We start from the raw sequence: 11555 nt of genomic DNA on the forward strand, positions 1-11555 counted from the left end.
TAGGTTCAAATGATTTTACTGGTTAACTCTTCCAAATCTTTAAAGAACACAGTTCTCTTGATTTTTTGTTTGTTTGTTTGTTTGTTTGTTTTGAGGCGGAGTCTCGCTCTGTCGTCCAGGCTGGAGTGCAGTGGCGCGATCTCGGCTCACTGCAAGCTCCGCCTCCCGGGTTCACACCATTCTCCTGCCTCAGCCTCCCCAGTAGCTGGGACTACAGGCGCCCGCCACCACGCCCAGCTAATTTTTTGTATTTTTAGTAGAGACGGGGTTTCACCGTGTTAACCAGGATGGTCTCCATCTCCTGATCTCGTGATCCACCTGCCTCAGCCTCCCAAAGTGCTGGGATTACAAGCGTGAGCCACCGCGCCCGGCCTCTCTTGATGTTTTAAAACAAACTTTTCCAGAGAGCTTATTCAAAGAATAATATGAGAAAACTTCCTAAATCCACGTAATTGGACATTAAACTGTAGAAACACAAAGGACTCCAGCTAGGATGAACAATAAACATTGACACTGAGACTCATTATACCCTGTCAAAAGTCAAAGACAAAGAATCTTGAAAACAGCAAAGGAAAAGCAACTAATCATGTATAAGAAAGTTTCCATAAGATTATCGGCAGATTTATTAGCAGGAACATAGCACACCAGAATTAAGTGGGATAAGATATTCAAAGTGCTGGGAAAAAATGCTAACCAGGAATACTGTACCTACCTTTCCTCCTGGTAGTTCTGAGGAAACGAGGCAGTCCAGATGAGTGGGTTTCCTCTCAGCGAAGCACATCCCTCCACTAAGGGACTGTCAGAGTGCTTCGTTAAATGGGTCCTGTTCCCTGTGCCACGCAACTGGGTGAGACCCTCCAGCAGGGGTTGTCAGACACCCTATACAGGAGTGATCCTACTGGTGTCAGGTTGGTGTCTCTTGAGGTCAGAGATCCCACAGGAAGGAGCAGGCACTCATCTTTGCTGTTCTCCAGCCACCTTGAGTGACATCTCCAGGCGAGGGAGTGAACCAGTTGAACAGGCCTGAAGTGAACCCCCAGCAAAATGCAGCAACCCTACAGAAGAGGGAGCTGACCATTGAAAGAAAAGCAAACAAACAGAAAGCAACAACAATAGAATCAACAACAACAACAAAAATCCCCACAAAAACCCCATCCAAGGGTCAGCAGCTTCAAAGATCAAAACTGGATAAACTCGTGAAGATGAGAAAAAAATCAACAAAACAACGCTGAAAACCAAAAATGCCAGAGTGCCTCTTCTCCTCCAAATGATGGCAGTGCTTCTCTAGCAAGGGCACATAACCGGATAGAGGATGAAATGGACGAATTGACAGAAGTAGGTTTCAGAAGATGGGTAATAAAAAACTCTGCTGAGCTAAAGGAGCATGTTATAACTAAATGCAAAGAAGCCAAGAACCTTGATAAAAGGTTAGAGGAGCTGCTAACTAGAATAACCAGTTTAGAGAGGAACACGCATGACCTTACGGAACAGAAAAACACAGCACAAAAACTTCGTGAAGCATACACAAGTATCAACACCCAAATTGACCAAGCAGAAGAAAGGATATCAGAGTTTAAAGACCACCTTGCTGAAATAAGGCATGCAGACAAGATTAAAGAAATAAGAATGAAAAAAAACAAAGCCTCCAAGAAAAATGGGACTAGGTAAAAAGACTAAACCTACGATTGATTGGAGTACCAGAAGGAGACGGGGAGAATGGAAACAAGCTGGAGAACACACTTCAGGATATTATCCAGGAGAACTTCCCCAACCTAGCAGGACAGGACAGTCTTCAAATGCAGAAAATGCAGAGAACGCCACAAAGATATCCCACAAGAAGGTCCACCCCAAGACACATAATCATCAGATTCTCCAAGGTCAAAATGAAGGAAAAAAGGTTAAGGGCAGCCAGAGAGAAAGGTCAGGTCATCCACAAAGGCCGAGGATCCCTCTGCAGAAACCCTATAAGCCAGAAGAGAGTGGGGGGGTCAATATTCAACATTCTTAAAGAAAAGAATTTTCAACCCAGAATTGCCCTACAGCCTGGGTGACAGAGTGAGACCCTGTCCCCAGCACCCCCCAAAAAAAGGGAAACAGAGGAAAAAGGAAACAAAATGACTACAAGAAATACAAGAAGCGCTGAAGAAAATGGCAATAGTAAATCCTTTCATGTAATTAATTAAGTATAAGTGGATTAAATTATTCAATAAAAAGACCCAGTGTGGCTGAATGAGTAAAAAGCCAGATCTAACTGTATTCTGTCTATAACAGAAACACTTTTGATGTAAGGGCACGCACAGTCTGAAAATGAAAGGACTGAAAAAGAAATTCCATGCAAATGGGAACCAAAAGAAAAAGGGGTGGCCGTATTTACATCAGATAAAATAAATGTTAAGTTATAATGATAAAGGATCAGATAACCAGGAGGACATAACAATTATAAACATATATTAGAGCACCCAAATATATGAAGGGAATATTAAAATAACCCTTCAAAGACAAGACTGTCCACTGTCTACCGTATCCCATTCTGGATAATTCTCAACATCCAATATTCAATACTTAATTCTGGGTTGCTGACAGTAACATCTCACTGTTGAATTTTGATAGCAGAAGGAATAGAATAATAGCTTTCTTATTTTTAAACCTTCTAGAAAGGAAAAAGATTTGACAATATCAACTGCTTGAAAGATAGGTTTAGGACCTACGCTGCCATATATAAAACACATTAGTAGGCTGAGTCTGACAAAAACAGAATTAATTCTTTATGTCTCTGGGTAAACATTTGAAAATCGTATTGAATTTAGTCTGGGATCTATTCTCTTCAGAAGCTCTGCTTTTAAAGAAGACAGACTTGTTTCCTAAGTCTGTCTCAGAAAAAAAGAAATCTTCTGAGTTAGAATCTTTATTAAATACATCATTATAAATTAAATTAAATATGTATATCAACGTTCACATTATTTTCACAGATATAGCAATTTAAACCTGGCTAAGATTCCTGAAATATTTCCTGAAGGAAAATAGCAAACAGAAAATTCCCCAAAAGCTCTTTGGAATATCAGCATGCAGATTAATATAATTTGTATTATGTCTATACATTCTAAGTCCTATAATAAAATGTATTTCCATAAATAAAATTTTCCCCATTCAAATAAGCACCATCGAGTAAGTAAATATCCTAACAATGAGACTAAATCTAATTGAATTATCAACAGAGCTCAAATTGAATGGTGTTTTCTGAATGAAATTTTTCGCTTTACTGGGTTCTGACAATATAATTCAAAGCTAAGCAAAAATTTACCCTTTTTTCTAGGGGAGAATAGGATGCTTTGCAATTTTATTATGAATTTATAAAGACATACCCGTTCTTTTATTATGTTTTTACATCTTTGCAAAATTGACTGTGTCACTGACACAATCAAAGATTTAAAGTTATTACTATTCCTTTAAAATTCCAAAGGTTTTCTTCAAACTTCTCAAGTTTGTACACACCTCAGAATCAAAATGCCAATTTCTGCAATCCTGGCTCAGGATTTTCTAGAATTTTAAGCCACATATTTAAAAACACCTTACCAGCCATGGCTTTTCGAAATTTAACCTAGTATTTCTCCTTTTCTTTCTCAATGAGTGGATAGTTGATTTTGTGACTGACACACCAAAGACACTCACTTCTTTCGGGCTAGAGGAATTTCGACAAATCTACTTATCGAAAATGGAAAGCAAAGACATACAACTAAACATTAAACATGCTATTTCATACAATGTCTAGTAAATAGTATTTTTTATACATCAATTCCCCAGAAATCGCACCACTGTGCAGAGGAAATTTCAAGTCTGTAAAGCATAATTCTTTGGTTCTATAACTGAAATATTAAGATAAATTACTTTTTAAACAGATAACTTTCAAGGAGAAAAAAAGGAAAAACAAATTATTCTTTCAATTAAAAAATTTTTTAATATTATTTCCTAAACCAGTGTGGAAACATACAATTTTGTACACATGAAATTCCACAATGTGTGCATAATCAGACCTCATATGTTTAATGAAATGCTTTTTTAGGAAACATATTTCTTCAGTGTAACAAAATATTTAATATTTGTAATAGATTTGTAAAGTCATTTCCAGTCATTGACTCACAATTATAGATTTAAATTTTTTGCTAGCAAATTTATTTTACATCAACGAATTCTGTTTGTATTATTGTTCTTGTAAATGTAATCAATAGTAAGCTATGAACTTACTGTAATCAGTAGTAAGCTATGAACTTACGTGTGTTAATATCATTTCTAATAAAAAGCTGATTGAATTTTAGTGCAAGCTGTATCAACACAATTCCTAAACTTTCAGACTTCTCTTCACATAATGTATGAATGATCAAATTTTGTTTGCTGGCAAGTATGAGAACTTAATCTTCTCTTTTCCTCTTTTCTAATATATTTGTCAATATCTTTAGATCAGTCTCATTTTCTCTACCAGTGTTTTATTCACCTCACTGCCCAGAAAAGTTTCCCACTTTATCCTTTTCATACTATTTCTCTTGCCAAGAAATATATTTACAGATATTGCTTGATTTTAAAACTTTCCACTAAGCAGTTCACATAAAATTCAGGAGATTGTTCCAGCCAAATAGCCAGTAAATAGCACCCTGAACCATATCGACGTCATGGGCTGAACTACACACCTCCCCTAGAAGCCACAGAGGTTCCACCACAGCCTTGGCAGCACTGGGGTTTGCTGTATCTCTACAGGGGTGAGCAGAAACATCCATTGCACACACTCAACCACTCATACACAGTCATTTTTCTACTTACTATTGTTATTCTAAGTTTTTATATACCTTCAACTTTATTGCTCATAGTTAACTTGTAAGTGCTTTCTGAGCATAGAAGTTACACCACCTCCTTTTGAAATTCATCATAGCCCCTGGGAGCCAAGAAATATCTGTTGTTGTAGCTTTCTGGAGCATAAAAAAAATGTTGACCAGAAAATAGTATATCTTTGAATGTGCTGTCTTGTACAAAATATTCTTTTCATTTTTTTATTTGACTCAATATTAAATATCCCAGAAAACGACTTTCAAATGTGCAAACACTGGGCAGCCTAACATTTTGGATAAGGTCCATCTTACATACTCCTATCACAGTCCAGGCTTACACCTAGCTTTGTGCTGGAACTCTGACTTCTGTGACTTGCTCCCCTATGTATTGTAAGTACCTTAATGGACCATGCTTACTTAACCTTTATAACCCTGGGGCTATCACAGCAACTGGCCACATATGTTAACCCAATAAATGTGAGTTCAGTGAATAAATAAATGATATAGAATTGATGTCATTTCCCAGAGCATCTATTCATTCTGCACCACAGGTAGAAAAGCACAAAATGATATTTAAGATACAATATAGGTATTTCTTTTTTTTAACTTTTCTTACAGCCATAACTTTTAAGCAGCATGAAGAAAAATAGAAGTCTTTGTGAAAGGCATGTAATATATAAAAATTAAAATCTAATATGTTTGATTTTGTTAATTCGTTTTTTTCAACTTTTATTTTGGATTCAGAGGGCACATGACAGTGTGTGACATGGGTATATGTGTAATACTAAGGTTTGGGATAAAGATGATCCCATCACCCAAGTAGTAACCATAGTACCCAACAGGTAGTTTTGGGTACCACGCCAGCCTCTCTCCCATCCCCTAACAGTCGCTAATGTCTGTTTTTCCAGGTTTATATATTTGTGTACCAAATGTCTAACTCCCACTTATAAGTGAGAATATGCAGTGTTTGAGATTCTGTTTCTGCATTAATTCACTTAAGATTTTGGCATCCAGCTGCATACATACCGCCACAAAAAACATGATTTTATTTATCTTTATGTATGCATAGTATTCCATGGTGTACGCATACCACATTTTCTTTATTCAATCCACCATTAATGGGCACCTACATTGATTCTGTCTTTGTTGTTATGAATAGCACCATGAGGGACATAAACATACATACGTCTTTTTGGTGGAACAACTGATTTTCCTTTGGTTATATACCCTGTAATGGGATTGCTGGTCAAATGATAGATCTGCTTCAGGTTCTTTGAAAAATCTCTAAACTGCTTTCCACAGTGCCTGAATTAATTTTCATTTCTACCAATAGTGTATAAGTGTTCACTTTTCTCTGAAACCTCAAGAGCATCTTTTATTTTTTGACATTTTAATAACTGCCATTCTGACTGATGAGAGATATAGTTATGTTCTTAGCAAAAGGGTTGACTGAATTTTGTTAGCATAGTTTGTGCCTCACACTTTCCATGACTTCTTTCTTTTTCAAAATCCCTCTCTTAATTTCTGTTTCTTCTTTCAAACCAAAATGAAACCAAACTGACACCTCAAACTAATAAACCTAACCCCAAACTCTGTAGGTATTAAGGAGTAAACTCAGACAAAAATCTAAAAACTTGGAAATTTTTCCATTATGGTTTAACTAATGTTTCCAATATCAGTTTTTCTTTGGTATTTAATTGATTTAACAACTTTTTTTTTTTTTTTTTTTACAAAAGCATGCATCAGTTGTAAGCTATTCCATTTATACTTTTAAGAAGTCCTTTCAAACAATTTTAGTTGTCACATGTTTGGATTATGGTTTTATATCAAAATATTCTACTAAATAACCACTCCAACAGAATATATAGCATTATGTTCTAAAAATAGCATAAACCAGCTAGTCAAAGAAAGATTATTTTAGTTACAGATATTAACATGAATAGAATAAGATAAGGAAATAAGATAAAGTGTCTACATTCCAAATCCCTCCTCAGTCTATTTTAATGAGATGGAAATCCAGATTTCCGTAAAATTTTCTTCTCTTTTGTTACTTCTGAAATTCTGAAGAAAAATAATAATAGATATGTTTATGTAGAGATCAGGGTTTTTTAGGATATGCACAAAGATACATTTTTAAAAATCAGTCATTTTCTTTATATTAATTTTTCCTATCTTTTATAATCAATATTATAGGAAAATAAAACAAAAATAAATTAAAATTACCTTTTGCATTTCTAAAACTGGTTATGTATAGAAAATTCTCCTAAGAAGTGATTTTCTTGTGACAGAAACCACAGATCTATACACATGTCATCTCTTTCGAATAAGCTGTGATTAAATTGAGAGAATTAATTTTTTAAAGCAAAGTCAGAGAATTACAGTCATCTAAAAAAATGAAAATGCCACGATTAATTATCAAAGCAATAGGAACAGAACGCATATTAGCTGAAACTTTATTCTTTCAGGACTTAAACACTAGGAATTTAGTTCCTCAAACACTCACGGCCACAGTCTTAGTTCCTGCTTTTATTTTCCAAGTCATAGATTATTTTGACCATCTCATTTGGGACATTTTCTGTTTCATTGATCCATTTTTTTCTGAGTCTTGTCTTATAATTGTCAGATAAATAGTGCTTAAAACACTTTATAAAAGGTTATTCTAGCGTAAATTACACAACAGGTTATCCAGATTCCAGGGTTTCTGTGAAAATGTATATAAAGAAAATAAATTAGAAAGGATTTAGTGGTTACAGGACTCAGATACATCATTTCATATGACAGAAATAATTAAAATCCGGGAAGTAAAAATTTACTGAGGCAGGAAATAATTTATCATTGTACGATTCCAGAGAAAAATTAGCTTGATAAGTGAATTTGATAAAGATTTATATAAGGAAAATCGATACTGAAAGTTTCTAAAATATAGGATCTTCCTAGGAAGAAGCTTTTAGTTATAAAGTCTGTAATTTAGATGAAAAAAAGTCCCGATAACAATAGGTGAGTGAAAATGGGAAAATAAAAGAACTGTTGCATTTCTTCCTGCTTTATACAGTTTGGTTTTTAACTTGTGAATTTTTGGTATACTAGTTCAATTTTTATTTGTTTTTAGGATATTTAAATCAGTTTGAAGTGCTGCATCGTATTTTTCTGTGTTTCATGATTGTTCTTCATGGGGCATTTAAAAAATCAGTTTGAATGTTTTAATTCTCATTTTCTGTGTTCTTTCCATAGTATCTTCATATATTAATAGACTAAAAATGCTTTTTGTGGACTGGAATGATAGTTGGAGCACTGTATTGGATTCCTATGTCAAGAGTGTCCTCTTCTGTCAAAATATTGCAATGTATTCTCTTAAATGAATGATTTGGGGGAGAGAAGTTTCTTTTGTTTTGTCTTTTGAATGTCATTTTGTCTATCCTAACACCTCTCTTCAACACATACACGCACTTGCTTTTTTCCCTCATTTACTGAGCAGATTTTAAATGTGCTTTTTCCTTTCTTATGTTTTACCCTCTTCTCAGAAGTTTCGTTTTCCAAGACTAACTCTTCAAGTCCAAAACACACTTTCCTTCTGCCCACCAATCTGATCCTTTTGGAATTCCTTTTTAAATTTTCACAATTAGTGTGGTCTTGCTCTTTCTGAGGTAGTTGCCAGTTTATCTGAAACCCCTAGGGCACCATGAGAGGATAGAGATGGGATCTAGGAATAACACTGTAAGTTTTTTTTTTTTTAATTTACAATAATTTGAAGTTTTAGTATTTTCTGACCCCTAGTCATGCTAAAGACATACATTTGTCTGCTTTCATTTTTATTTTTGCATGTAATATATATATATATTTTAAGGCTATTGTAGGAGAATTTAAATTTAAGCAACTACCATTAGCTCTTTCTGTATAGTTTTATTTCAGTGGGTACCTAGGTTTCAGCAGAATTCTCTGCTGTCTACTTGTTTCTGAAATTATAAAGGGAATAACTATCCCCGCCTTGATTTTTCTTATTCTTGGCCTAGTTTTCATGAATAAACCACAAGAAAAAAGACATAATATTATCAATATTTTGTATTTCTACAGCCTAGTGAACCAGTACATTTTTATACATCTGGTAGATTTTGGTTGTAAATTCGTGTGGTTGAGAGTATGATTCCACACTAGAAAATTCTAAAGATTCTTTCAAAAGACTCCTAGATCCAGTAAATGACTTCGGTAAAGTTTTGAGATACAAAAATCAGTGGCATTTCTATGCACCAATAATGTTCAAGCTGACAAAAAAATCGAGAATGCAATCTCACTTACAATAACCACAGAAATAATAAAATAACTTGAGATTCATCTAACCAGACAGGAAAGCTCTCTTCAAGAAGAACTATAAAACATTGCCAAAAGAAACAATAGATGACACAAACAAAAGTAAAAATATTCTATGCTCAAGGATTGGAAAAATTAAATACTGTTAAAATGTCCATACTATTCAGAACAATCTACAGACTCAGTGCAATTCCTATCAAATTACCAATGTCTTTCTTCACAGAACTGAAAAAAAACTATTATAAAATTCATGTGGAACCAAAAAAGAGCCCAAATGTCAAACAAACAAACAAAAAAGCTGGAGGCTTCACATTACCTAGCTTAAAACTATAGTACATGGTTACAATAACCAAAACAGCATGGTACTGATTAAAAGAAAACCAGACATATAGACCAATGGAACAGAATAGAAAACACCAAAATAAACCCACATGGTAAACTAATTTTTATATTAATATAAGGATGCCATGAAATGACAGTCTCTTTGGCAAATCATGTTGGGAAAACTGAATATCCATATGTAGATGTTGGATTCATCATACACCAGGCACAAAATCAAATCAAAATCAACTGAAGATTTAAATGTAAGAACTAAAACTTTTAAACTCCTAGAAGAAAACATAGAGGAACAGTTTACATATAAGAAATATTATATAGAAACAATTTAAATCTAGGAATGTCCTAATAGACTGTACTAAATACACTTTATCTCTTTTTATCTCAATCTTTTATTTTTATTTTAGAATCAAGAGGTACATGTGCAGATTTTTTACATAAATATATTGCGTGATGCCAAGGTTTAGTTTTCATTTGACCCCATCACCACATAGTGAGCATAGTACCCAATAGGTGGGTTTCAACCCCTACACTCCTCCTTTCATCCCCCCTTTTGGAGTTGCAAGTGTCTATTGTTCTCATCTTTATGTCCATGTGTACTCAATGTCCAGCTCCCACTCATAAGTGAGAACATGTAAGTATTTGGTGTTCTGTTCCTGTGTTAATTTGATTAGGATAATGGCCTCCAGCTGCATCCATGTTGCTGTGAAGGACATCATTTTATTCTTTATTATGGCTTCATAGTATTCCATGAGTGTATGTGTACCACATTTTCTTTATCCAATCCACTTTTGATGGGCACCTAGGTTGATTCCATATCTTTACTATTGTGAATAATGCTGTGATAAACATACAAATTCCAGTGTATTTTAGTAGAATGATTTATTTTCCTTTGGGTATATACCCAGTAATGGGATAACTGGGCTGAATGGTAGTTGTGTTTTTAAGTTCGTTGAGAAATCTCCAAACTGGTTTCCACAGTGTCTTAACTAATTTACATTTCCACCAACAGTGTATCAGTGTCCCTTTTCTTGGCAACCTCACCAGCATCTCTTATTCTTTCACATTTTAATCAAAATGCCAAATTTGAATCACCATAGTGACTGGTGAGAGACAGTATCTCATTGTGGTTTTGATTTGCATTTCTCAAAGATCCCTTGATCTGTATGTCTGTTATTATGCCAGTACTACTGTAGCTTTGTAATAGTTTTGAATTCAGGGTGTATGATGCCTTTAACCTTGTTTAACCTTGTTCTTCTTCCTGGAGATTGCTTTGGCTATTCAGTGTCTTTTGTGGTTCTACATGAGTTTAATGAATATTTTTCTATTTTTGTAAAAAAAAGTGCAATTGTGATTTTGAACAGAATTGCCTTGAATCTATAGATGTATTTGATTACATTAAATTTTCATAAAAGCATAAGTAACCAAAGCAAAATTATATAAAGTGGGACTACATCAAACTAAAAATGTTCTGCACAGCAAAGGAAACAGCAGAGTGAAAGGCAACCTATAGATTTGAGAAAACATTGCAAATAACATATCTGTTAAGGTATTAATGTCCAGAATATATAAGGAACCTCTACAACTTAATACCAAAAACAAAAAATAGCCCAATTTTAAAAAATGGATGAAGGACTTGAATAGACATTTCTCCACAAAAGACATGCATGTGGCCAGTGGGTATATAAAAAAATGCTCAACATCACTAATCATTAGGGAAATATTCTAAGATGCTACCTAACACCTGTTAGGATGACTATTTTACATATATATATATATATATATATATATGGATACATTCACATATCCATATATTCATTCATATATACCCAGAAGAAGGAGATGAGCCATCCTCTCACTTTCATTTATTACCCTCTTCCTTAAAACGAATATATCCATATACATATATATGAAGATATATATATATATATATATATATATATATATATATATATATATATGTTGGTAAGAATGTGAAGAAATTGGAACCCTAGCACATTGTTGATAAGAATGCACTATGAAAAAGGTGTATAGAGCTTCCTCAAAAATTAAGAGTAAAACTACCCATATAACCCAATAATATCACTTCTGGGTATA

At 34.1% G+C, this 11555-nt stretch overlaps 1 long non-coding RNA gene across 2 annotated transcripts in view; it reads right to left on the bottom strand.

Annotated features, from left to right (window-relative positions):
* Positions 1-2894: 2894 nt before the first annotated feature.
* LOC105369657 (uncharacterized) overlaps positions 2895-11555 on the bottom strand; it is a 41122-nt gene continuing 32461 nt past the window's right edge. The window contains exons 4-6 of one of the 2 annotated variants that reach the window (XR_931355.4): positions 7321-7518; positions 7041-7145; positions 2895-6878 (exon numbers count right to left, since the gene is read on the bottom strand). This is a non-coding gene — a long non-coding RNA (uncharacterized LOC105369657). Of the gene's footprint in view, positions 6879-7040; positions 7519-11555 lie in introns of both variants that reach the window. The other variant, XR_001749003.3, reaches the window with a different exon arrangement.

Source organism: Homo sapiens, chromosome 12 (assembly GCF_000001405.40).
Source record: "Homo sapiens chromosome 12, GRCh38.p14 Primary Assembly".
NCBI classification, from domain to species: domain Eukaryota; kingdom Metazoa; phylum Chordata; class Mammalia; order Primates; family Hominidae; genus Homo; species Homo sapiens.